The sequence below is a fragment of the Homo sapiens genome, chromosome 19 (assembly GCF_000001405.40).
Source record: "Homo sapiens chromosome 19, GRCh38.p14 Primary Assembly".
Lineage (NCBI taxonomy): Eukaryota > Metazoa > Chordata > Mammalia > Primates > Hominidae > Homo > Homo sapiens.
The window spans coordinates 11071356-11097571 of record NC_000019.10 but is presented as its reverse complement, the minus strand read 5'-3'; the positions used below and the strand labels follow the sequence as shown (position 1 = coordinate 11097571).

General features: G+C 49.6%; 1 protein-coding gene and 1 long non-coding RNA gene across 9 annotated transcripts in view, besides 10 other annotated features; one reads left to right on the top strand and one right to left on the bottom strand.

Moving 5' to 3' along the window:
• Positions 1-8109, bottom strand: part of LDLR (low density lipoprotein receptor) — a 44358-nt gene extending 36249 nt beyond the window's left edge. For 7 of the 8 annotated variants that reach the window (NM_000527.5, NM_001195798.2, XM_011528010.3 and 4 more), the window contains exon 1: positions 7957-8109. In NM_000527.5, the coding sequence (NP_000518.1) occupies positions 7957-8023 (67 nt within the window). In that variant the 5' untranslated portion in view covers positions 8024-8109. Of the gene's footprint in view, positions 1-6652; positions 7014-7956 lie in introns of those variants that run through there. The other variant, NM_001406861.1, reaches the window with a different exon arrangement.
• Positions 1951-3150: an enhancer, noted in NCBI's record as "P300/CBP strongly-dependent group 1 enhancer chr19:11205098-11206297 (GRCh37/hg19 assembly coordinates)". NCBI's record gives its function as "activates an origin of replication core promoter dependent on BRD2, BRD4, P300/CBP, MED14 and CDK7 cofactors, with strong dependence on P300/CBP, by STARR-seq in HCT116 cells {active_cell/tissue: HCT116}" and the evidence as "EXISTENCE:reporter gene assay evidence [ECO:0000049][PMID:35650434]".
• Positions 2456-2585: an enhancer, noted in NCBI's record as "active region_14007". NCBI's record gives its function as "activates an Ori minimal core promoter by ATAC-STARR-seq in GM12878 lymphoblastoid cells {active_cell/tissue: GM12878}" and the evidence as "EXISTENCE:reporter gene assay evidence [ECO:0000049][PMID:35858748]".
• Positions 4498-5450: an enhancer, noted in NCBI's record as "H3K27ac-H3K4me1 hESC enhancer chr19:11202798-11203750 (GRCh37/hg19 assembly coordinates)". NCBI's record gives its function as "activates a minimal SCP1, AML or CMV promoter by ChIP-STARR-seq in primed H9 embryonic stem cells {active_cell/tissue: H9 hESC(primed)}" and the evidence as "EXISTENCE:reporter gene assay evidence [ECO:0000049][PMID:30033119]".
• Positions 4498-6072: a biological region, named in NCBI's record as "BRD4-independent group 4 enhancer GRCh37_chr19:11202176-11203375".
• Positions 4873-6072: an enhancer, noted in NCBI's record as "BRD4-independent group 4 enhancer chr19:11202176-11203375 (GRCh37/hg19 assembly coordinates)". NCBI's record gives its function as "activates an origin of replication core promoter dependent on BRD2, P300/CBP, MED14 and CDK7 cofactors, and independent of BRD4, by STARR-seq in HCT116 cells {active_cell/tissue: HCT116}" and the evidence as "EXISTENCE:reporter gene assay evidence [ECO:0000049][PMID:35650434]".
• Positions 6666-7259: an enhancer, noted in NCBI's record as "NANOG-H3K27ac-H3K4me1 hESC enhancer chr19:11200989-11201582 (GRCh37/hg19 assembly coordinates)". NCBI's record gives its function as "activates a minimal SCP1, AML or CMV promoter by ChIP-STARR-seq in primed H9 embryonic stem cells {active_cell/tissue: H9 hESC(primed)}" and the evidence as "EXISTENCE:reporter gene assay evidence [ECO:0000049][PMID:30033119]".
• Positions 6666-7278: a biological region, named in NCBI's record as "NANOG-H3K27ac-H3K4me1 hESC enhancer GRCh37_chr19:11200989-11201582".
• Positions 6769-6948: an enhancer, noted in NCBI's record as "active region_14006". NCBI's record gives its function as "activates an Ori minimal core promoter by ATAC-STARR-seq in GM12878 lymphoblastoid cells {active_cell/tissue: GM12878}" and the evidence as "EXISTENCE:reporter gene assay evidence [ECO:0000049][PMID:35858748]".
• Positions 7019-7278: a silencer, noted in NCBI's record as "silent region_10100". NCBI's record gives its function as "represses an Ori minimal core promoter by ATAC-STARR-seq in GM12878 lymphoblastoid cells {active_cell/tissue: GM12878}" and the evidence as "EXISTENCE:reporter gene assay evidence [ECO:0000049][PMID:35858748]".
• Positions 7260-7855: an enhancer, noted in NCBI's record as "NANOG-H3K27ac-H3K4me1 hESC enhancer chr19:11200393-11200988 (GRCh37/hg19 assembly coordinates)". NCBI's record gives its function as "activates a minimal SCP1, AML or CMV promoter by ChIP-STARR-seq in naive H9 embryonic stem cells {active_cell/tissue: H9 hESC(naive)}" and the evidence as "EXISTENCE:reporter gene assay evidence [ECO:0000049][PMID:30033119]".
• LDLR-AS1 (LDLR antisense RNA 1) lies at positions 7913-8504 on the top strand. The gene has a single exon (NR_163945.1). It is a non-coding gene; the product is annotated as an LDLR antisense RNA 1 (long non-coding RNA).

Genomic DNA, 26216 nt, shown 5'->3' with positions numbered 1-26216 from the left:
TATCTTTGTGAAGATGTAACAGATGCTATCCAGGAAAATCACATACAAGGGTTTGTTTTTTGTTTTTGAGACAGAGTCTCATTCTGTTGCCCAGACTGGAGTGCAATGGTATGATCTTGACTCACTGTAACCTCTGCCTCCCAGGTTCAAGCGATTCTCCTGCCTTAACCCTTCCAAGTAGCTGGGATTACAGGCACGCGCCACCGTGCCTAGCTACATAAGTACATCAATAAGTTCTGATCGATGGTTGAAACTTTGGGAGGCCAAGGTGGGCGGATCACCAAATCAGGAGATCGAGACCATCCTGGCTAACATGGTGAAACCCCATCTCTACTAAAAAAATTAGCTGGGCATGTTGGCGGGCGCCTGTAATCCCAGCTACTCAGGAGGCTGAGGCAGGAGAATCGCTTGAACCCGGGAGGCGGAGGCTGCAGTGAACTGAGATCACGCCACCATACTCCAGCCTGGGCGACAGAGACTCTGTCTCAAAAAAAAAAAAAAAAGAAAAAGAAAATATGACCACATGACCAGGTGCAGTGGCTCATGCCTGTAATCCCAACACTTTGGGAGGCAGAGACAGGATTGTTTGAGCCCAGGAATTCCAGACTGGCCTAGGCAACATACCAAGACCCCATCTCTACAAAATAAAAAAAAGAATAATTTTAAAAAAAGAATATAGGACCGCATCTTCTGTGATAATCCTTTCAGAAGGCAGAGCCTAATTCGTCTCCCCTGGAGTGGCACTGGACTTTTAATGACTTGCTTCTGATAGGAAAATGTAGAGACGACAGGGAGTGGCTTCTGAGCCTAGTTCATGGCCATGCTCATTGTTGGATCGACTGCTCCAGGGGAGGCCAGCTGCATGTCATGAGTCCACTCAAGCAGCTGGAGGGAGAGCTCCACGCAGCAGGGAACTGAGGCCTCCAGCCAAGAGCCACTGAGTGCGCCATCTTGGAAGTGGATCCTTCAACCCCAGCCAAGTCTTCCTATGCCTGCAGCTTCTGAAAATATGTTTTTCTCTCCTGCCAATATTTTGATTGCAACTTCATGAGAGACCCTGAGCTGGAACCGTCTAGCTGTGCTGCTTCCAAATTCCTGACACGCAAAAACTGAGAAATCATAAATGTGTTGTTTTAAGCCACTACATTTTGGGCTAATTTGATATGTAGCAAGAAATGAGTCATTTCCTCCTTTAAGCACAGTTGAAACTGAGTTGTAGGTAATTAACATACAACCTAACTTTAAAAGATGTATCTATGTCTTTTTTTCTTTCTCTTTCGGACACCGGCTTTCACTCTGTTGCCCAGGTTGGAGTGCAGTGGCATGACTGAGGCTCACGGCCGCCTCCACCTCCCAGGTTCATGCGATCCTCCTGCCTAAGCCTAACTCAACAGCTGTGACTAGAGGGGTGCACCATCACACTCAGCTAACTTTTTATTTATTTTTTGCAGAGACAGGTGTCTCACTATGTTGCCCAGGCTGGTCTCAAACTCTTGGGCTCAAGCAATCCACCCACCCATCTCGGCCTCCCAAAGTGCTAGGATTACAGGCATCAGCCACCGCATCCAGCCCCCTTTATCCATTTCAACTTTGATGGTTGACCCAGCACATTCATGTGGATTCCCTGAAAGTTAGAGTAGTAAGGGGGTTAGATAGACAATCCTGGGCTTCACTGGCTTTCCAGGCCATTTAACTAGAACAACTTGGGTAACTGACTAAATCCTTCTGGGACTCAGTTTCCTGATCTGTAAAATGGGGGAGAATGGCAGTCTCTACTTCCTAGAGGGTGTTTTGAGAATTAAAGAACAGAACAGGCTGGGCGCGGTGACTCACGTCTGTAATCTCAGCACTTTGGGAGGCCGAAGTGGGCGGATCACCTGAGTTCAGGAGTTCGAGACCAGCCTGGCCAACATGGTGAAACCCCGTCTCTACTAAAAATACAAAAATTAGCCGGGCGTGGTGGCGGGCGCCTGTAATCCCAGCTGCTCAGGTGGCTGAGGCAGGAGAATCACTTGAACCCGAATGCCTGTAATTGCAGCTACTCGGGAGGCTGAAACATGAGAATCATTTGAACCCAGGAGGCAGGGGCTGCAGTGAGCCCAGATTGTGCCACTGCACTCCAGCCTGGGCAACAGAGCGAGACTCTGTCAAAAAAAAAAAAAAAAAGAAAAGAAAAAAGGGAAGGAAGAGAGAAGAAAATGAGTCGAGCTTTGGAATCTGCTGTGGTCACAAACTCTGATAATTCTCTTGCCCAACTACAGATCTGTCAATACTGTACACACCCCGCTTTGACAATATCGTACACACCTCACTGACTCACAGCTCAATTTCAACTGTGCTTAAAGGAGGAAATGACTCATTTCTTGTGCTGACACACCGGGTGGGCAAAAAGCAATTGAGATTCCAGGAGGCTTGCGATAAATAAAAAGGAAAGTTGGGCCAGAGGCGTTGGCAATCAAGATCTTAAGGGAGGAGCCTCTGATCACCCCACTAGGTGACCGCAGCTTTGGTGACCACTAATCCAATGCTCTCACCTCCCTACCTCTGTACGAGGGCCCAGCTTACAAACTAAATGTGCCACTGGGTAGACCGGGAATGTCAGTAACACCTGAAGGTCCTTTAAGGAGGGATAAAGAACAATAAAAACCTTTCCCTGAAGAAAAACAAAACCTTTCCCTGGACCTCAAGCTCTCCCCTGACTATTATTCTCCAAATATTTGCTGGCCACAGGTGGCTCAAGACTGCACCCATGGGAAGGACCCCACGATGACCTATTTCTGTGATCTACCACCTGGGCAACTCTCCAGACAATGTTTCAAAAGTGGATTTCCCCAGCACCTTGGGAGGCTGAGGAGGGAGGACTGCTTGAGCCCAGGAGTTTGAGACCAACCGAGGCAACAAAGCGAGAATCCCTTGAACCCCATCTCTACAAAAAATACACAACTTAGCCAAGCATAGTGGCACACACCTGTAATCCCAGCTACTTGGGAGGCTGAGTGGGGAGGATGGCTTAAGCCTGGGAGGTCAAGGATGCAGTGATCTGCGCTCCAGCCTGGGCGGGAGACTCTGTCTCAAAAAATAAAAACAAACGAACAAACAAACAAAAAATTTAAACTTAGCTGGGAGTGGCCGGGTTCGGGGGCTCACGCCTATAATCCCAGCACTTTGGGAGGCTGAGGCGGGTGGATCACCTGAGGTTGGGAGTTCGAGAACAGCCTGAACCAATGTGGAGAAACCCCATCTCTACGAAAAATACAAAATTAGCCGGGCGTGGTGGTGCATGCCTGTAATCCCAGCTACTCAGGAGGCTGAGGCAGGAGAATCGCTTGAACCAGGAGGTGGAGGTTGCGGTGAGCCGAGATCGCGCCATTGCACTCCAGCCTGGGCAGCAAGAGCAAAACTCCATCTCAATAAATAAATAAATAAATAAATAAACAAACAAACTGAGGTGGGAGTGGTAACACGTGCGTATAGTCCCAGCTACTCAGGAGGCTGAGAGAGGAGGATCAGTTGAGTACAGAAGCTGGAGGCTGCAGTGAGCTATAACTGCACACTTCAGCCTGAGCGACAGGGCAAGACCCTGCCTCCAAAAAATAAAGGCAGATTTTACTGCCACAGGCGCAGCCAGACAGCAGTTGCCTGCCAAATGAGCTCCCTTGGCCTAGCTAGTGGGGACAGTGCTCAGGAACGGAACAGTGCTGAGTGAGAGCACGTCAGGGAGCTGTCCTCACAGTTGCTGCCCTTTCCGAGCAAGGGGACAAAACCAGTCCTGTTCCAAACATCAACGGCCCAACGAAACCGCACCTCTTTCTTATTCTTTCAAGCAAGGTTGGCGTTTTTCATATTAGACCATTTGAATTTCAGGAAAAGCAAATTAGGCCAAGCGCGGTGGCTCACGCCTGTAATCTCAGCACTTTGGGAGGCCAAGGCAGGCGGCTCACCTGAGGTCAGGAGTTCGAGACCAGCCTGGCCAACGTGGCGAAACCCTGTCTCTACTAAAAGTACAAAATTAGCCAGGCATGGTAGCGGGTGCCCGTATCCTAGCTACCCAGGAGGCTGAGACACGAGAATCCCTTGAACCCCGGAGGCAGAAGTTGCAATGAGCTGAGATTAGGCAATCTAAGCGAGACTCCATCTCAAAAAAAAAAAAAAAAAGGAAGTAAACTAGAGCATGGATCCCCAGATTTTCTCACGCTAGGGAAGCCTAAAAAGCAATGAGCTCCTCTCAAAAACACAAAAACACAAAAAGGCCGGGCACGGCGGCTCACGCCTGTACTCCCAGCACTTTGGGAAACTGAGGCGGGTGGATCACGAGGTCAGGAGTTCGAGGCCAGCTTGACCAATATGGTGAAATCCCATCTCTACTGAAAAATACAAAAATTAGCTGGGTGTGGTGGCGGGCGCCTGTAGTTCCAGCTACTCAGGAGGCTGAGGCCGAAGAATCGCTTGAACCTGGGAGGCAGAGGTTGCAGTGAGCCGAGATTGCGCCACTGCACTCCAGCCTGGGCAACTCGAACAAAAATAAACAAACAAAAAAAACACCTCTATAAATTCTAGTCCTCTAGCCCTCTGATCTCTCAAGTCACGAGTAACAAGTCAGGAACAAGGTCATCGAAACAAAAAAAGAGAATACACATTTCTGCTTTTTCCCCCAGCACACAAATGAGGTGGTGAATGCTTTCGATGTTTTCTTTCCCTGTGCTACTGAAAACAGTTGTACAAGGAAATCAAAACTGTAGCTAGAATCATTTCCTTGAAGGGGAAACAAACAAACGAAAATCCCCTGGCTTAAGGGAACAGAGCCAGCTGAAAATGAATGAGAAATCAATTGATTGGCTGGCACAGTGGGTCACGCCTGCAATCCTTGGACTTTGGGAGGCTGAGGCGGGTGGATCACGAGGTCAGGAGTTCGAGACCAGCCTGGCCAACGTGGTGAAACCCCATCTCTACTACAAATACAAAAATTAGCCGGGTGTTGTGGCAGGCGCCTATAATTCCAGCTACTCAGGAGGCTGAGGCAGGAGAATTGCTGGAACCCGGGAGGCGGGGATTGCAGTGAGGCGAGATTATGCCATTGCACTCCAGCCTGGGTGACAGGGCGAGACTCCAACTCAAAAAAAAAAAAAATAGACATCAATTGATCAGTGCTTCTTTCCAAATAAGGTGGGTATTTTCCCCAGAGTGATCTCAGCAATTGATTTTGCTTCCGGAAGAGAGAGCCTGACTCACTGTTTGCTGCTGGTCGGTTACATCTGCAGTCTCTTAGCAACAAAAGGCTATTTGCTTGACAGTTGGGACAGAGTGTGGAAGGAAAAGGGACATCAAAAAGCCCATCAAAATAATAATAATAATAATAATAATAATAATAAAGCCCATCAAAGCACCCATCAAAGCAAGGAGCAACCGACCCATCTAGAATTGGATCTTATCAGGGAGGAAGTCTACAGATAAGAGCAGGAATGAGGAACAGAATTCCCCTACAGGTTTTCTGTCTCAACAAAGGTCTCCCTGTTTTTTCCCAGTGTTCCCTGGAAGATAGGTATTTCCGGAAATGACAAGGGAATCACCCTGCGGCTCGTTAAAGCAGCCAACTCCCTTACTCAAATTTGGGTGAGTCATTGACACGTTTGGAGCTGCGCTCACCGCTGTTGCCTGATTTTGGTCTAAGTGAAGGCTTGCGGTTCAGATTCCAACAACTTCCCTTTGTAAAGGAAATGGACAAGAAACTCCCCCCTGGATATGCCTTGAAGCCAGCTACAGCGTGAGGTGGTGCAGCTAGAAAGTGCTAGAAACACACACCAGCTCTCAGAAGTCTGGAGGAAAACATCAGGGGTGTAGTCTCCTTGACAACAGAGGAAACATCACATTCTCAGCCATCCCGGGAGAGAGAAACTAAAGTGATGAACAAACAAGGCCTTGCCTAAGACTTCCTTAACATTTTCTCTTAAGGAAGAGGTTGATTGGTGAGTGAGATACACATTAATCCAGTGCCTCTCTTTCTTTTGTAAAACTGAGTGGCAGAATGTTTGCAATCATCATCATCCCCGGTGGGGCGCGGTGGCTCACTCCTGTAATCCCAACACTTTGGGAGGCTGAGGTAGGAGGATCGCTTGAGGCCAGGAGTTCAAGACCAGCCTGAGCAACCAAGCGAGACCTCATCTCTACAAAAAGTTAAAAAATAAATAAGTAAATAAAAATAAAAGAACAATCATCCGTATTTCATTACACCCTCCCTCCCTCTCTGGCCTCCCAGAGGAAACTGGTGTGTTAGTTACAGCGTGAATTTCAAGGCAGTTCAAAGCTCTCCATCCAGTCAAAGCCAACCCCCTTGCCAATTAAAAAAAAAGTTTCCTGCAATCCTTGTGTTCATCAGGCAATCCCAATCCTTTTCTAGGCTAGGCTGGTTCTCAGGAGGGAAAGGGCCATGTAGCTGTTGTCTAGGGCGAGGCTGTCTCTCTGCAACTAATTTAAAGCCACCTAAAAAGCTCTAACTCAGGATCATGCACTAACCAGCCTCTTGTGGAAATCTAAAATCTAATCCATTTCACCCAGAGGAAAAATCGCCGCTTGGACAGCTGAACCGAAGCCATTCACAGCCTCTGAAGAAGCGAGGCCACCCCAGGGGGTCGGTCCCGGGGGATAGCTGCCCCACCGTGGCTGAAGATCTCGGCTGCAGACCAAGGAGGGGCGGGGAGATTCTGAGGCAACGTTTCAACCTCGTAAGGAACCGAGGCCTTGAGGGTGGCCGGGGGCCCCTCTGTGAACTTGATCGGGGCTGGTGGGGCGAGGGCGCCCCCCAGGACAAGGTGGGGACGGAGGTGTCGCCACAGAGCACAGCGGAAACCGGGGACTTCGCCAGGAGGGCCCAGGATAACGGAGGGCGACTCGTGTATGTCGCGGAGGCGGCTCCGGGGACCCGGGACTTGTCGTCGCCTTTGTGACAGGAACCGCGGAGGAACGCCAGGCCTCCCCTGCATCCGCCTCGCCCCGGACAAGGTGAGGCTCAGACTTCCGCGCCAGCCCCGCCCCGCTCGTACACAAGCCCCGTCCTCCCGACGCCCGCCTCCGCCTCCACCGCCTCACATTGGACAAGGGGAGTGGCTCGAGGGTGGCCTGTTGGACTACACCCAATGGAATTCGGGGGGCGGGCCAAAGGGGCGGGGGCAGGGGCGGGAGGGGGTGGCCCCCGTCCCGGAGCACGCGGCGGAATCCCGGGACTGCACCCAACTCAGGATGGCAGTGGCGCCCTGGGGTCGCGCAAAGCGGATCGGGACCCCTGAGCCCGCGGTGACCTCCAGGCTGGACATCCGGGTCTCCAGTCGCCCTCGCCCCCAGAAGGACTTAAGGCGGGGGTGGGAGTGATCCCTTGTTTTAGGACTGGAGGTCCCCACACCCAGCTCCGAGTTAGAAGAGAGGGTCCCGGCCGGGCGCGGTGGCTGACGCCTGTAATCCCAGCACTTTTGGGCAGATCACCTGAGGTCGGGGTTCGAGACCAGCCTGGCCAAAATGGTGAAAACCCGTCTCTACTAAAAATACAAAAATTAGGCGGGCGTGGTGGTTGGGCGCCTGTAATCCCAGCTATTCGGGAGGCTGAGAGAGGAGACTCGCTTAAACCCGGGAGGCGGAGGTTGCAGTGAGCTGAGATCGTGCCACTGCACTCCATCCTGGGCGACAGAGCTAGACTCCGTCTCAAAGAAGATGCGGTCCCTCACCCTGTGGAGACTTGGGGGACAGCGGTGCCCCGTTTCCCTTAAATCCCTCAGACTCCTCCCGACCCTCGCGCTCCCCTCAGCGCCCCCCTCCAGCGCCCCCTCCAGCCGTTTGGGAAGGACCCCGTGCCATTACCCCACAAGTCTCCCAGGGATGGAGTGATTATTTGTACCCAAAAAAATAAATTCCCAAGGGCCCCCCGGGGGCTCCCTCTCAACCTATTCTGGCGCCTGGAGCAAGCCTTACCTGCAGTCCCCGCCGCGGCGAGGAGCAAGGCGACGGTCCAGCGCAATTTCCAGCCCCAGGGCCCCATGCTCGCAGCCTCTGCCAGGCAGTGTCCCGACCCGGATCACGACCTGCTGTGTCCTAGCTGGAAACCCTGGCTTCCCGCGATTGCACTCGGGGCCCACGTCATTTACAGCATTTCAATGTGAGGTTTCTAGCAGGGGGAGGAGTTTGCAGTGGGGTGATTTTCAAATGTCTTCACCTCACTGCAAGAGGAGGAGTTTCGAACGGCCGATGTGACATCGGCTTTTTAACCCGTGAAGCTCTGATTCCCACTCCAGTCCTTCGAAAGTGTCGCCAGGGCAGGCGACTTGATTTGTTGTATTTGGGTCTCCGGTGAAGAGCTGACGCCCCCTCAAAATTGGAAACGCATCTTCTGAAAGATCCTCCTGAAATTTCTCGATGTTTAACTGTTAACATTTTGCTGTTGTTGTCCACAGAAGGATAACAACAGCCTTTCAAGATCCTCCAATAGCCTAATGCCATTGTCCTCTCTGCCTCAAAAGGAAAACACTAAAAATGTTGGGAACTTCCGCCACTTTCTATATTTGCCTTTTCCTTTCTAGGAATTGTGTATAGATTTTTAGCTTCCTTTCGTTGTATATTGTTTTTACATTGTTATTCCAAATCACCTAATAGACACTGATCAATCAGGAATTTAAATAAAATCTTCACAAAAGTACAGCCAAAAAAATATTTTTTGTTTTGTGGGATCCCGCCTTTGGCTGAGTATAAACATCTGAAAAATCAATTGTACGGATACCTGGAGTCTGGACGTAAATATTGATTTCTCCCCTTAGGAGAAGGAGTTGAACAAACAGAAGGGCGGTTTCCTCTCCCTCAAAGCAAAATCAAAACAAAACAGGGCTTTCACAGTTGAACTTGAACCCCTAAGCCACAGAGAGCTGGTGGAGACCAACTTTTAGAATTGAGTCTCTTTGGGGACTCATGGGGTTGCCAGAGGCCTCTTGCCAAAAAGGCACATGTGAGAAACTTGCCTGAACCCCACACAGGGCTGGGCAGTCTTGGCGGTTCCCCCAGGAATAAGCTGGATTTCTCTGGGATTTTGCAAACTGACTTTGGCAGGCAGTGCTAACCTCTCAGCAGGATTTTAGGGAAACCTAGGAGACCAGGCAGAAAAGGGACAAATTGAACTCTCAGAAGGACAAAAAAAAAGATTAATCAGGGAAAATAATTTTTTAATTATTTTTATTATAATTTTTTAAATAATTATTTATTATTTATTTATCATTATTTCCAGCTGTCACTCAGGCTGGACTGCAGTGGCGTGATCACAGCTCTCTGCAGCGTCAACCCTGGGCTCAAGGAATCCTCCCACCTCAGCCTCCTGAATAGCTAGGACCACAGGAGTGCACCACCATGCCCAACTAATTTTTAATTTTTTTTTATAGATGGGGTCTCACTATGTTGCCCAGGCTGGTCCCAAACTCCTAGCTTCACTCAATCCTCTTCCTCTTGCATCATGATGCCTCTCAAATTGCTGGCTTTACAGGCATGAGCCACTGTGCCCAACCCAGAAGAAGAAATTGATGATAAGAATTTTTGGCAGTTAAGACTCAGTTTCAGAATTCGGCCTTGGACAGATAAATTAGCTTTCCCAACCTGTAAAGGGGCCATCAAAATGCTTGAACCTACTTGGCAGGCTCAGTGTCAAGGTCAAATTGAAATAATTAGCGGGCTGGGCATGGTGGCTCACGCCTGTAATCCCAGCACTTTGGGAGGCTGAGGCAGGTGGATCACGAGGTCAGGAGATCAAGACCATCCTGGATAACACAGTGAAACCCCACCTCTACTAAAAAAAAATACAAAAAATTAGCCGGGCGTGGTGGCGGGTGCCTGTAGTCCCAGCTACTCGGGAGGCTGAGGCAGGAGAATGGCGTGAACCCGGGAGGTGGAGTTTGCAGTGAGACGAGATTGCGCCACTGTACTCCAGCCTGGGCGACAGAGTGAGACTCCGTCTCAAAAAAAAAAAAAAAAAAAGAAGTAATTAGCAATCACCTAGAGAAGTTTACAAGGATAGGCAAGTTCTAGGAGCTGCTGCAACGTTTATAAATGTGTCCCCATTGAATCCCATTCCTTATGCCATTTGCGACATTAAACAAAAAAGTGAAGTCTGGATGTGGTGGCTCATGCCTGTAATCCCAGCACTTTGGGAGGGTGAGGCGGGGGGATCACTTGAGCCTAGGAGTTCAGAACAAGCCAGGGCAACACAGTGGGACCCTGTCTCTACAAAAAATACAAAAATAAGCTGGACATGGTTGTGTGCGCCTGTAGTCCCAGCTACTCGGGAGGCTGAGGCGGGAGGATGGCTTGAGCCCAGGAGGTCAACGCTGCACTGAGCTGTGGTTGTACCACTGCACTCCAGCCTGGGCGACAGAGTGAGACTGTGTCTCAAAAATAAAGATAAGTTTAAAGATTCAACTTAAAGCAAAAAATAAGTAAATAAAAATTTAAAAAGTAAGTATCACTGGATTTTTTTTTCTTTTTTTTTTTGAGACAGAGTCTTGCTCTGTCACCCAGGCTGGAGTGCAGTGGTGTGATATCGGTTCACTGCAACATCCTGCTCCCAGGTTCAAGCGATTCTCATGCCTCAGCTTCCCGAGTAGCTGAGATTACAGGTGCATGCCACTACGCCCGGCTAATTTTCTTATTTTTAGTAGAGACGGGGTTTCGCCATGTTTGCCGGGCTGGTCTCGAACTCCTGACCTCAGGTGATTCACCTGCCTCAGCCTCCCAAAGTGGTGGAATTACAGGTGTGAGCCACTGTACTGGCCCAATATCACTGGGTTTGATTTCCCTTAAAAAAAAATTTAAGGCTGGGTGCGGTGGCTCACGCCTGTAATGCCAGCATTTTGGGAGGCCGAGACGGGTGGATCACGAGGTCAGGAGATCGAGACCATCCTGGCTAACAAGGTGAAACCCCATCTCTACTAAAAAAATACAAAAAAATTAGCCGGGCGTGGTGGTGGGCGCCTGTAGTCTCAGTTACTCATGAGGCAGAGGCAGGAGAATGGCATGAACCCAGGAGGCGGAGCTTGCAGTGAACCAAGATCGCGCCTTTGCACTCCAGCCTGGGCGACAGAGTGAAACCCTGTCTCAAAAAAAAAAAAAAAAAAAAAAAAAATTTAAGATGGCCAGTCACAGTGGCTCATGCCCTATAATCCCAGCACTTCAGAAGGCCAAGGCAGGTGGATCACCTGAAGTCAAGAGTTTGAGACCAGCCTGGCCAACATGGCAAAACCCGGTTTCTACTAAAACTACAAAAATTAGCCAGGCATGGTAGCAGGCGCCTGTAGTCCCAGCTACTTGGGAGGCTGAGTCAGGAGAATCACTTGAACCTGGGAGATAGAGGTTACAGTGGGCCGAGATCACGCCACTACACTTCAGCCTGGGTGACAGAGGGACACTCCCTCTGAAAAAAAAGAAAAAAAAAATGCGCCGGGCGTGGTGGCTCACAGCTGTCTCACACCTGTAATCCCAGCACTTTGGGAGGCAGAGGTGGGCGGATCACCTGAGGTCAGGAGTTGGTGACCAGCCTGGCTAACAAGGTGAAACCCCGTTTCTACTAAAAAAAAAAAAATACAAAAAATTAGCCAGGCGTGGTGGCGCATGCCTGCAATTCCAGCTACTAGGGAGGCTGAGGCAGGAGAATCGCTTGAACCTGGGAGGCAGAGGTTGCAGTGAGCCGAGATCGCACCATTGCACTCCAGCCTGGGCAAGAAGACCGAAACTGTCTCAAAAACAAAAACAAAAAATTATAAGACGTAGGCTCAGTGTGTGTCATGAGTCCACATCTGGTTACCCAGAAAGAGTTACCAGGAGAGGGACTCCCTTCCCGGAAGGCACTTGGCTTACATAGTTCCCAGAGCTAGAGGTCAGGGCAGGTCTGGAAAAGAGCCACAAAAACTCTGAAAAGCACATTCCTCGGGTGCCAAGGCCTGGCCAAGGTTTCCAGAACAGCGTTCCCCAGGCCCCTGACCTGCCTGCCATGCACGGACACGGCCATACATGGCTCTGAGGACTGAGTCATGCTGATAAATTTTTCTGTTTCTTGGTTTCCATTTGTGCTCCTGTAACTAGCTCACAGGGCTCTTGTAAGGATTAAGTTAAAATATATAAAGCGACTAGAGGCCAGGCGAGGTGGCTCATGCCTGTAATCCCCAGCACTTTGGGAGGCAGAGGTGGGAGGATCACTTGAGCCCAGGAGTTGGAAACCAGCCTGGGCCACATAGTGAGACCCTGTCTCTACAAAAAAAAAAAAAACAATTAGCCAGGCGTGGTGGCTCACACCTGTGGTCCCAGCTACTCAGGAGGCTGAGGTAGGAGGATTGCTTGAGCCAAGGAGGTTGAGGCTGCAATGAGCTACGGTCGCGCCACTGCACTCCAGCCCAATCAACAGAGCCAGGCTGTCTCTCAATTAAAAAAAAAAAAGTGATTAGAGCCACACTCGGTGCATAATAAATACCATATATGGGTTTGCTTTTCTCTGTGGCTGCTTTTGTGTTGCAACTGCATTTTTTTTTTTTTATCTCTTCAGGGAAGACCTGCCAGTTCCTGCTGTTTTTTTTTTTTTGTTTTTTTGTTTTTTGTTTTTTGTTTTTTGACGGAGTCTAGCTCTGTCACCCAGGCTGGAGTGCAGTGGCGCGATCTCGGCTCACTGCAACCTCCGTCTCCCGGGTTCAAACAATTCTCCTGCCTCAGCCTCCCAAGTAGCTGGGACTACAGTCACGTGCACGTGCCACCACGCCTGGCTAATTTTTTGTATTTTTTTTTTTTTTTTTTGAGACGGAGTCTCTGTCTGTTGCCCAGGCTGGAGTGCAGTGGCGCAGTCTCGGCTCACTGCAAGCTGCGCCTCCCGAGTTCACACCACTCTCCTGCCTCAGCCTCCTGAGTAGCTGGGACTACAGGCGCCCGCCACCACACCTGGCTAATTTTTTTTTGTATGTTTAGTAGAGATGGGGTTTTACCGTGTTAGCCAGGACGGTCTCGATCTCCTGACCTCGTGATCCGCCCGCCTCAGCCTCCCAAAGTGCTGGGATTACAGGCACGAGCCACCACGCCCAGCCTAATTTTTTGTATTTTTAGTAGAGACGGGGTTTCACTTTGTTAGCCAGGATGGTCTGGATCTCCTGACCTTGTGATCCACCCGCCTCAGCCTCCCAACGTGCTGGGATTACAGACATGAGCCAACACGCCCGGCCTGTGCCTGCCTTCTTTCTATTAGGGAGTCAGTAAGTAATCCTGCTGTGGAACCCACTTTATTGGAAAGTTCCTGAACTCCCAAAGTTATCTAATACAACTCAGGGTGGGCATTTTCCTCGCTGTAATAGCCCACCTGCCCCCGTCCTCCCATTTTCTACCTCTCTAATTCACCAGGAGGCTCAGTCCGGAATAGGTCTCTGCCCCAACGAGCCTGGCCTTTGGCAGAGGTGAGCCATTGCAGCTGTGGTCTGGCCTTAAGCCCATCAATCCACAGAGAAACCATCAGTAACAGCAGAGACCTCGGTGCCTGCCAGTGGGTGGAATCAGGAACCTGCCTTGGCTCAGCTGGCATCAGTTATCTTCACAAAATGCCCAAAGCCGTGTGCTGACAGACCTCATGGCTTGCTGAAATACAGCAATACTAAAATTCCACAGTGCAATTCCACAGTGCCTCCTAGAATATAGCAATAGTGAAAATTGCATAAATAAGTGAAAATAAGGCCGAGTGTAGTGGGTCACACCTGTAATCCCAGCACTTTGGGAGGCTGAGGTGGGCGGATCACTTGAGGTCAGGAGTTCAAGACTAGCCTGGGCAACATGGTGAGACCCTGTCTCTACTAAAAACAAAACAACAAAACAAAACAAAACAAAAAACCGGGAGAGTGGAGGGCTAGGGAAGGGATAGCATTAGGAGAAATACCTAATGTAGATGACCGGTTGATGGGTGCAGCAAACCACCATGGCACATGTATACCTATGTAACAAACCTGCACGTTCTGTACATGTATCCCAGAACTTAAAAGTATAATAAATACACATATATTTTTAAAAAGTAGCTGGGCACAGTGGCGCACACCTGTAGTCCCAGCTGCGGAGAGGCTGAGGCACAAGAATCGCTTGAACCTGGGAGGCAGAGGTTGCAGCGAGCCAAGATCACACCAGCCGGGTGCAGTGGCTCACGCCTGTAATCCCAGCACTTTGGGAGGCCGAGGCAGGCGGATCACGAGGTCAGGAGATCGAGACCATCCTGGCCAACATAGTGAAACCCTGTCTCTACTAAAAATACAAAAATTAGCCGGGTGAGGTGGTGGGCGGCTGTGGTCCCAGCTACTTGGGAGGCTGAGGCATAAGAATGGCACGAACCTGGGAGGCGGAGCTTGCAGTGAGCTGAGATCGTGACACTGCACTCCAGCCTGGGCGACAGAGCGAGACTCCATCTCAAAAAAAAAAAAAAAATAGATCACACCACCACATTCTAGCCTGGGCGACAAGAGCGAGAGTCTGTCTCAAAAAAAAAAATTGCCTTATAATCCAGAAATTCCACATCTGAAATATCCCCAAAAGCATTGAAAGCAGAGACCCAAAGATATATGTGTATACCATGTACATAGAAGCTTCTTCAAAATGGCCAAAGGTGGAATCAACCCAAGTGTCCATCAGGATAAACAAAATATGACATATTAATATAATAGAATAAAATTTAGCCTTAAAAACAAGGAAATTCAGGCATCCTCCAACATGGATAAACCTTGAGGATATAAGGCCGGGTGAAATAAGCCAGCCACAAAAGGACAAACAGGTTTGACTCCACTTCTATTAGGTCCTAGAATAGGCAAATTCATACAAAAAGTAGACAAAAAGTAGAATAGTGATTACCAGGGGCTGAGAGGAAGAACGGGAAATTGGGTATGGGGTTTTCACTTTGCAAGATGAAAAACTTCTGCAGGTGAGTAGTGGTGACAGTTGAACAACAATGTGAGTATACTTTAATGCCTCTGAACTTGAAAATGGTTAATATGGTAAATTTTAGGGCTGAGCGTGGTGGCTCCTGCCTGTAATCCCAGCACTTTGGGAGGCCGAGGGGGGCGGATCACTTGAGGTCAGGAGTTTGCGACCAGCTTGGCCAACTTGGCGTAACCCCGTCTCTACTAAAAATACAAAATTAGCCGGGTATGGTGGCAAGCACCTGTAATCCCAGCTACTCGGGAGGCTGAGGCAGGAAAATCGCTTGAACCCAGGAGGCAGAGGCTGCAGTGAGCCAAGATCATGCCACTGCACTCCAACCTGGGCAACAGAGTGAGACCCTGTCTCAAAAAAAAAAAGGGTAAATTTTATATCTATTTTGCTACAATAAAAAGATTTAAAAAAAAAAAGCAAAAGGGCTCAAAAGGTGGACACATGGAAAAACCTCCATCCCATGCAGGTCCCCTGCCCTCTGACAATTAAGACTGCTGACCTTTTTTGTTTTTTTTTGAGACGGAGTCCTGTTCTGTCACCCAGGCTGCAGTGCAATGGCACAGTCTCGGCTCACTGCAACCTCTGCCTCCCGAGTTCAAGCGATTCTCCTGCCTCAGGTTCCAAAGTAGCTGGGACTACAGGCACATGCCACCGTACCCGGCTAATTTTTGTATTTTTAGTAAAGATGAGGTTTCACTATATTGGTCAGGCTGATCTAGAACTCCTGACCTTGTGATCCGTCCGCGTTGGCATCCCAAAGTGCTGAGATTACAGGCGTGAGCCACCACGCCTGGCCAGGACTGCTAACCTTTTAAGCATATCCTTCTAGAACATTCTAAGCATATACAAGGAGGAGAGTATATCATATTCCCCTCCATTTCCCCCTGTACATTGTAGTACCCATTCATACTGCTCTATACCCTCTGGTTTCATTTATTGAGGTATCTTAAAGAATGTTCCAGGGGAAAAAAAAAAGAATGTTCTGGAACAACAGAAATCAGACTATGGATGGACAGGATTTCCGCAGGTAGGAGCAGCGCCGAGGTGGAAATGGCAGATCAGTGAAAGCTGGCTGAGGCAAGGCATATGTGTGGAACGCTGGGAGGTTGAAATAAAATTGGGAGAGACACTTTCACATCCCCTGGGAATGAAAGAAACTATTTTTGGGGCAGTGAGAAGACTTTGAAAAAAAAAATTAGAGTTCTTATGCGGGTGCATGACTTCTCGGTTCGGTCATGGGAGTGGGGCTACCAGAGGGAAAGGAGACTGATCAATCAGGTTGGGACTTGGGGTGAGGTGGGGCGAGGACAGCAGGACAGAGGAAAAAGTATACACCTCTTACGTTAGACTTTATATTTATCTCTCGAGCAGGTCATTATTTGAATCATTAAATTAAACTTTCTTTCTTTTTTTTTTTTTGAGACAAGAGTCTTACTCTGTCACCCAGTGGCGCAATCTCAGTTCACTGCAACTTCCATCTCCCAGGTTGAAGCGATTCTCCTGCCTCAGCCTTCCGAGTAGCTGGGACTACACCCGGCTACTTTTTGTATTTTTAGTAGAGACGGGGTTTCACCATGTTTGTTGGCCAGGCTGGTCTTGAACTCCTGACCTCAAGAGATCTACCCACCTTGGCCTCCCAAAGTGCTGGGATTACAGGTGTGAGCCACCGTGCCCGAACTTTTTTATGTTTTTTTTGTTGTTGTTGCTGTTGTTGTTTCTTTTTTGAGACGGAGTCTTGCTCTGTTGCCAGGCTGGAATGCAGTGGCACAATCTCCTCTCGCTGCAACCTCTGACTCCCTGGTTCAAGTGATTCTCCTGCCTCAGCCTCCCGAGTAGCTGGGATTACAGGTATACGCCACCACGCCCAGCTAATTTTTGTGTTTTCAGTAGAGACAGGGTTTCATCATGTTGGCCAGGATGGCCTCGATCTCCTGACCTCGTGGTCTGCCCACCCCAGCCTCCCAAAGTGCTGGGATTACAGGCGTGAGCCACCGCGTCCGGCCTTATTTTTTTATTTTTATTTTTTTGAGGCAGCCTCTTTCTCTGTCACCCAGACTGGAGTGTAGTAGTTCAATCGTAGCTCATTGCAGCTCAACCTCCTGGGCTCAAGAGATCCTCCTGCTTCAGCCTCCAAAAAAGCTAAAACTAGAGGCATACACCACCATATCTACCTAATTTTTAAATTTTTTGTAGCGACAGGGTCTCACTATGTGGCCCAGACTGGTCTTGAACTCCTGGACTCAAGCAATCCTCCTGCCTGGGTCTTCCAAAGTCCTGGGATTATAGGCGTGAGCCAACATACCCGGCCGTAAAAATTTCATTCATGAAGTGTCCTTGTCTTCTCATCGTTTATGAATTGTATCTGTGTGAAACACATTGTTTACAGACTACTCCTAGTTAGATTTCACGAATGATTTCTGGAAATATCTAGAATGATCTGGAAGAGTCTGGAAAGCTTTGGAGGGATGGGAAGTCTGGCCAAAATTAGGAAGAGTCAGATTTCCATCTTGATTACGTTGCTTCTGTGACCTTCCTCGGACGAATCATTTCTTTCTGGGTCTTCTATTTACTCTTCATTCAAGCAACTTTTCTTGGCCAGGCGCAGGGGTTCACACCTGTAATCCCAGCACTCTGGGAGGCCGAGGCAGGTGGATCACGTGAGGTCAGGAGTTTGAGACCAGCCTGGCCAACATGGTGAAACCGCATCTCTACTAAAAATACAAAAATTAGCCAGGCATGGTGGCGGGCGCGTATAATCCTAGCTACTTGGAAGGCTGAGGCAGGAGAATCACTTGAACCCGGGAGACAGAGCTTGCAGCTTTTTTTTTTTTTTTTCTTGCGATGGAGTCTCACTCTTTTGCCCAGGCTAGAGTGCAGTGGCGCGATCTCAGCTCACTGCAAGCTCCACCTCCCGGGATGAAGCGATTCTCCTGCCTCAGCCTCCAGAGTAGCTGGGATTACAGGCATGCAGCATCATGCCCGGCTAATTTTTGTATTTTTAGTAGAGACGGGGTTTCACCATGTTGGCCAGGCTGGTCTCGAATCCCTGACCTCGTGATCTGCCCGCCTCATCTTCCCAGTGTTGGGATTACAGGTGTGAGCCACCATGCCCGGCCATATTTTTATTTTTATTTATTTTTATTTATCTGCTTTTGGGACAGAGTCTTGTTCTGCAGTCCAGGTTGGAGTGCAGTGGCGCAATCTCGGCTCACTGCAACCTCTGCCTCCAGGGTTCAAGCAATTCTCCTTCCTCAGCCTCCCGAGTAGCTGGGATTACAGGTGCCCGCCACCATGCCCAGCTAATTTTTGTATGTTTAGTAGAGACGGGGTTTCATCATATTGGTCAGGCTGGTCTAGAACGCCGGACCTCAGGTGGTCTGCCCACCTCAGCCCCCCAAAGTGCTGGGATTACAGGCGTGAGCCACTGCGCCCAGCCAGATTCTGCTTTTATTTTAGCTGACATGGCTGATGGTTCCAAAGGCCAAGGTCAGGTGTTTGTTGACCACAATCTAATCTTGGTCTACAAAGACCTGGGCTGCAAGGTCTTCCATTTCCCAGTGGTGGGCAGATCCGTTGCAGTTGCTGGGGAACAGACTCGCCGTTATCTGGCATGTGCGTAACTGTGGAAAAACCAAGATAGAAGGAAGGACATTGGCAGCAGCCAAGATGGGCCAGAGTCCTGTAATCCCAGCACTTTGGGAGGCTGAGGCGGAAGGATCACGGGGTCAGGAGTTTGAGGCTAGCCTGACCAATGTGGTGAAACCCCGTCTCTACTAAAAATACAAAAATCAGCCGGGCGTGGTCACAGGCACCTGTAATCCCAGATACTCAGGAGGCTGAGGCAGGAGAATCGCTTGAACCCGGAAGGTGGAGGTTGCAGTGAGCCGAGATCGCACCATCGCACTCTAGCCTGGGTGACAGAGACTGTCTAAAAAAAAAAAAAGAGGCCGGGCGCGGTGGCTCACTCCTGTCATCCCAGCACTTTGGGAGGCCCGAGGCAGGCGGATCATAAGGTCAGGAAATCTAGACCATCCTGGCTAACAGGGTGAAACCCCATCTCTACTAAAAAATACAAGAAATTAGCCGGGTGTGGTGGCGGGCGCCTGTAGTCCCAGCTGCTCGGGAGGCTGAGGCGGGGGAATGGCGTGAACTCAGGAGGCAGAGCTTGCAGTGAGCCGAGATCGCACCACTGCGCTCCAGTCTGGGCGACAGAGCGAGACTCTGTCTCAAAAAAAAATAAAAAATAAAAATAAAAGAGGGGCCAGAGTCCAGGACTCCAACCTGGCTGAGACTGAACTTCAACTACCCAAGTAGCAAGTGGCTACAACGTTTAAAATTGCACAGCCCCAGGTTCTGATCTGGAGATGGGGGTGGGGGCGTGGGGGCGGTGGTGGGGGCAGTGGGTGGGGGAAGGGTGTCTTATATGTTGCACTTCATTGCACAGATGTCGTATTGGCCGGGCACAGTGGCTCATTCCTGTAATCCCAGCACTTCGGGAGACCGAGACAGGAAGATCACTTGAAGCCAGGAGTTCAATACCAGCGTGGCCAACGTGGTGAAACCCCGTCTCTACTAAAAATACAAAATTTAGCCAGGTGTGGTGATGGTTACCTGTAATCCCAGCTACTCAGGAGGCTGAGGCAGGAGAATTGCTTGATCCTGGGAGGCAGAGGTTGCAGTGAGCCAAGATTGCGCCACTGCACTCCAGCCTAGGTGACAGAGTAAGACTCCGTGTCAAAAAAAAAAAAGAATGTCGTATGTATGGATTACCTGTGTGATTAAGAGGAGAAAGGTGGGCCGCGCCTGTAATCCCAGCACTTTGGAAGGCCAAAGTGGATCGTCTGAGGTCAGGAGTTCGAGACCAGCCTGGCCAACATGGTGAAACCCCGCCTCTACTAAAAATACAAAAAAATTAGCCGAGATCACGCCATTGCATTCCAGCCTGAGCAACAAGAGCGAAATTTTGTCTCATAAATAAAGAGGAGAAAAGTGAAATAAGCCAGTCACTGAAGTGGAGACACTGTAGGATTCAACTTATAGGCGGTCCCCAGAGTAACAGATTCACAGAAAGCAGATTCACAGAGTAGAACCTGGAGTAGAATTCTGGTTTGACCGTGATTAGGGAACGAGGCTGTGGGCTGGTTCTTACACTCGAGCATGTGTTGAGACTTGCCTGGTTTGAAATTCCCCTAGCACCAGAATAAAATGGGGGGTGCCAGGGGCTGGGGAGGTGGAATGGGGAGTGAGTGTTTCACGGGGACATAGTTACATTTGGGAAGATGAGAAAGGTGCAGATGGCTGGGAGCAGTGGCTCACGGCTGTAATCTCAGCAGTTTGGAGCAGACCACTTGAGGCCAGGAGTTCAAGATCAGCCTGGCCAATATGGTGAAACACCATCTCTACTAAAAATGCAAAATAATTAGCAGGGCGTGGTGATGTGTGTCTGTAATCCCAGCTACTGGGGAGACTGAGGCAGGAGAATAGCTTGAACCTGGAAGGCAGAGGTTGCAGCGAGCCAAGACCGCACCACTGCACTCTATACTGGGCGAGAGAGTAAGACCCTGTCTCAAAACAAACAAAAAAAAAGAGAAAGCTGGAGATGGACGGGGGCTGATGGTTGCACAACAATGTGAATGTGCTTAATGCTGCTGAACTGTGCACTTAAAAATGGTTAAGAGGGCTGGGCGCGGTGGCTCATGCCTGTAATTCCAGCACTTTGGGAGGCTGAGGCAGGTGGATCACTTGAGGTCAGGAGTTCGAGACCAGACTGACCAACATGGTGAAACCCCATCTCTACTAAAAATACAAAAATTGGCTGCGCATGGTGGCTCACGCCTCTAATCCCAGCACTTTGAGAGGCCAAGGTGGGTAGATCACTAAGTCAGGAGTTTGAGACGAGCCTGGCCAACGTGGTGAAACTCTGTCTCTACTAAAAATAAAAAAATTAGCCGGGCTTGGTGGCGGGCGCGTGTAATCCCAGCTACTCGGGAGGCTGAGGCAGGAGGATCGCTTGAACCCGGGAGGTGGAGGTTGCAGTGAGCCGAGATCACGCCACTGCACTGCAGCCTGGGTGACAGAGCAAGACTCCGTCTCAAAAAAAAAAAAAATTAACCAGGTGTGGTGGCACACGCCTGTAGTCCCAGCTACCTGGGAGGCCAAGGCAGGAGGATTGCTTGAACCCAGAAGGTTGAGGGTGTACTGAGCTGTGATCGTGCCACTGCCCTCCAGCCTGGGCAACAGAGCAAGACCCTGTCTAAAAAATAATAATACTAATACAAAAAGAAAACCAAAAAAAAAGAAAAAAAGGGAGGAAGGAGAGAGGAAGGAAAGAAAGGAGAAAAGAAAGGGGGCAGGAAGGGAGGAAAGAAGGACAGACAGATGGAAAGAGAAAGAAAAGAAAAGATTGTTTAAAACTCCTCCAAACCATCTGGCTAACCTTGGCTCCCAGCTTCTCTGCGTCAGCAATGACGAACTCTGGCCCTCCGGCTCAATGTCAAGGGCGCCACAGCCTCATGCATCTGTCTTGCCAGCCGACCTAACTCTGTTCCCCAGAACCCATAGGAATCCAGGGGGAAAAAGCCAGTGAGAAACCCCTGCAGGGGCCCCAAGACCTGTGTCTGTGTCTGCTCTTCTCCATCTGCATCTTAGTTCACAAGGCGACCCCATTGCCCTGCCTGGAATTGGGGCTCTGTCCTCGGTTGAATTGGTTAGAACTTGTGGTCTTAGGTCAAGGAGGAGACATCATCCCTGTCTCAGGGTGCGCTGGACAGGGCTAGGTGCCTGCCACACGAGCACTCTCCTTTTCTTTCCTTTTTAAATTAAAAAAACCTTTTTTTTTTTTTTTGAGACAGTTTTGCTGTGTCCCCCAGGCTAGAGTGCAGTGGCGTGATCTCAGCTCACTGCAAGCTCCGCCTCCCAGGTTCATGCCATTCTCCTGCCTCAGCCTCCCGAGTAGCTGGGACTACAGGTGCCCACCACCATGCTCGGCTAAATTTTTGTATTTTTAGTAGAGCCAGGGTTTCACCGTGTTAGCCAGGATGCTCTCAGTCACCTGACCTCGTGATCCACCCGCCTTGGCCTCCCAAAGTGCTGGGATTACAGGTGTGAGCCACTGCACCTGGCAAAAAAAATCTGTTTTTCATGTGTGTTTGTTTGGAGACAGGGTCTCACTCTCTCACCCAGGCTGGAGTGCAGTGGTGCAATCATGGCTTGCTGCAGCCTGGACCTCCCTGGGCTCAGGTGATCCTCCCAACTCAGCCTCCCCAGTAGCTGGGATTACAGACGTGTGCCACGACACCCGGCTAATTTTGTACTTTTAGTAGAGACGGGGTTTCACCATGGTGGTCAGGCTGGTCTCGAACTCCTGACCTCGTAATCACCCACCTCAGCCTCCCAAAGTGTTGGGATTGCAAGCGTGATCCCCCATGCCCGGCCCATCTTAACCACTTTTTTTTTTTTAGACGGAGTCTCACTCTGTCGCCCAGGCTGGAGTGCAGTGGCGTGATCTCGGCTCACTGCAAGTTCTGCCTCCCGTGTTCACGCCATTCTCCTGCCTCCGCCTCCCAAGTAGCTGGGACTACAGGTGCCCACCACCATGCCTGGCTAATTTTTTGTATTTTTTAGTAGAGATGGGGTTTCACCGTGTTAGCCAGGATGGTCTCGATCTCCTGATCTCATGATCCACCTGCCTCGGCCTCCCAAAGTGCTGGGATTACAGGCATGAGCCACCGCGCCCGGCCCATCCGAACCACTTGTAACTGCACAATTCAGAGGCATTAAGCGCATTCACACAGTTGTGCAACCACCACTACCGCCATCCATCTCCAGAACATTCTCAACTTCCCAAACTGAAACTCTGGCCACACCCCCTCCCAGCCCGTGGCACACACCATTCTACAATTCTAGGGACCTCTTATGAATGAGATCAGGCAGTATTTGTCCTTTCATGTCTGGCTTATTTCACTGAGCATAACATCTGTGTTGGAGCCTGTGTCAGAACTTCCTTCCTTCCTTCCTTCCTTCCTTCTTTTTTTTTTTAAGACAAGAGTCTCGCTCTGTCACCCAGGCTGGAGTGCAGTGACGCAATCTCGGCTCTCTGCAGCCTCTGCCTCCCGGGTTCCAGCGATTCTCCTGCCTCAGTCTCCCGTGTAGCCTGGCTTACAGGTGTGTGCCACCACACTCGGCTAATTTTTTTGTATTTTTAGTAGAGACGGGATTTCACCATGTTGGCCAGGCTGGTCTTGAACTCCTGACCTCAGGTGAACCGCCCCCTCCCCCCTGCCTCAGCCTCCCAAAGTGCTGGGATTACAGGCATAAACCACTATGCTCAGTGAGAATTTCCTTCCTTTTAAAGGCCAAATAATGTTCCATTGAATGGATACACCATCTTTTGTTTACCTGTTCTTCCATCCACGGACTCTTGGGTTGATTCAGCCTTTTGGCTGTGATGAATAATGCTGCTATGAACATGGACATGCAAATAATCTCTTTGAGCTCCCACTTTTTTTTTTTTTTCTGAGACGGAGTTTCTTTCTGTTGCCCAGGCTGGAGTTCAGTCGCGTGATTTCCACTCACTGCAACCTCCGCCTCCCGGGGTTCAAGCGATTCTCCTGCCTCAGCCTCAGTAGCTGGGACTACAGGTGTGTGCCACAACTCCCAGCTAATTTTTGTATTTTTAGTAGAGACAGGATTTCACCATGTTGGCCAGGCTGCACTTGAACTACTCCTGGCCTCAAGTGATCTGCTTGCCTCGGCCTCCCCAAGTGCTGCAATTATAGGTGTGAGGTACTGCGCCTGGCCATCCTGCTTTCAATTATTTTGGTGATATACCCAAAAGGGGAACTGCTTGGGTCCTATGGTAATTCCACTTATTTTCTGGAGAGGGAACCACCACACAGTTTTTAGTTTTTTGTTTTTTGTTTTTGAAATGGAGTCCCACTCTGTCACCCAGGCTGGAGAGCAGTGGCGCAGTCTCGGCTCACTGCAAGCTCTGCTTTCCGAGTTCACGTCATTCTCCTGCCTCAGCCTCCTGCGCCCGCCACATGCCCGGCTAATTTTTTGTATTTTTAGTAGAGACGGGGTTTCGCCGTGTTAGGATGGTCTCAATCTCCTGACCTCGTGATCCGCCCGCCTCGGCCTCCCCAAGTGCTGGAATTACAGGCGTGAGCCACCACGCCCGGCCTATTTTTGTATTTTTAGTAGAGATGGGGTTTCGCCCGTTGGCCAGGCTGGTCTCAAACTCCTGACCTCAAGTGATCCGCCCTCTGCGGCCACCCAAAGTGTTGGGATTACAGGTGTGAGCCACCACTCACCACCCCCGGGCAATCCTACTGATTTAAATGGGTTGGTGTAACTGATTGCAATTCTGACATACAGGCTTCAAAGAAAAAGTGCCACCTGCCCTTACGGGGCCTTCTGAGAGAGTATTTTACCTTAACTTTGATTTTGTGGACAGCCGTTTAGAATCACAATGAGCAGAAACCCTACCTCTGTCTTTTACTGTGTGACCTTGGGCAAGTTATTTTTCTTTTCTTTTTTTTTTTTTGAGATGGAGTCTCGCTCTGTTGCCAGGTTGGAGTGCAGTGGCTCTCGATCTCGGCTCACCACAACTTCCACCTCCCAGGTTCAAGGGATTCTCCTGCCTCATCCTCCTGAATAGCTGGGACTACAGGTGCTCACCACCATACCCTGGTAATTTTTGTATTTTTAGTAGAGACGGGGTTTCACTGTTGGCCAGGCTATTCTCGAACTCCTGACCTCATGATCTGCCTGCCTTGGCCTCTCAATGTGCTGGGATTCCAGATGTGAGCCACCGCGCCTGGCTTTCCTTTTTCTTTTTTAAAGGTTAAAGTAGGTTTCTTCTGGTCTGTTCAATAAAAGAACATAGTTTATGATCCATTTCAGTGATGCTGGTGTTTTTTTGTTTGTTTGTTGTTTTGTTTTGTTTTTGAGATGGATTTAGCTCTTGTTGCCCCGGCTGGATGGCGCAATCTCATCTCACTGCAACCTCCACCTCCCAGGTTCAAGCGATTCTCCTGCCTCAGCCTCCCAAGTAGCTGAGACTACAGGTGCCCGCCACCACACCTGGCTAATTTTTGTATTTTTACTAGAGACAGGGTTTCACCATGTTGGCCAGGATGGTCCCGAACTCCTGACCTCAGGTGATCCACCTGCCTTGGCCTCCCAAAGTGTTGGGATTACAGGCGTGAGCCACTGAGCCTGGCCAAAATTTCAGTCTTTTTAATGGCAGTGTAGTACTACATTGTGTATATACACCACATTTTCTTTATTCATTCAAACATTGATGGGCACTTAGGTTGATTCCATATTTTGGCTATTGTGAACAGTATGCTAATAAATAGGAGAACGTCTTTTTTTTTTTTTTTTTTTTCCTGAAACAGAGTCTTGTTCTGTCGCCCAGGCTGGAGTGCAGTGGCGCAATCTTGGCTCACTGCAACCTCTGCCTCTTGGGTTCAAGCAATTCTTCTGCCTCAGCCTCCCGAGTAGCTGGGATTACAGGCATGCACCACCATGTCCAGCTATCATTTACTTATTAAGAGGATTTATAACCAGTTTTTTTCTTTTTCTTTTGAGACAGAGTCTAATTCTGTCACCCAGGCTGGAGTGTAGTGATGTGATCACAGCTCACTGCAGACTTCACCTCCCGGATTCAAGCAATCCTCCTACCTCAGCCTCACGAGTAGCTGAGATCACAGGTGTGTGCCACCATGACCACCTAAGTTGTGAATTTCTTTTGTAAAGGTAAGGTCTCATTTTATTGCTCAGGCTGGTCTCAAACTCCTGGGCTCAGGTAATCCTTCTTGCTCAGCCTCCCAATGTGCTGGGATTACAGGTTTGAGCCACCACACCCGGCTTTTTTTCCCCCCTTTCTTCTTCTTCTTCTTTTTTTTTTTTTTTCTGAGATGGAGTCTTGCTCTGTCCCCAGGCTGGAGTGCAGAGGCGCAATCTTGGCTCACTGCAACCTCTGCCTCCCAGGTTCAAGCAATTCTCCTGCCTCAGCCTCCCAAGTAGGTGGGATTACAGGAGCCTGCCACCATGCCCGGCTAATTTTTGTATTTTTAGTAGAGACGGAGTTTCACCATGTTGGCCAGGATGGTCTTGATCTCTTGACCTCGTGATCCGCCCGCCCCGGCCTCCCAAAGTGCTGGGATTACAGGCTTGAACCACTGCGCCCTTCTTTTAAAAATAAAGACAGGAGGCTGGGCGCAGTGGCTCACGCCTGTAATCACAGAACTTTGGGA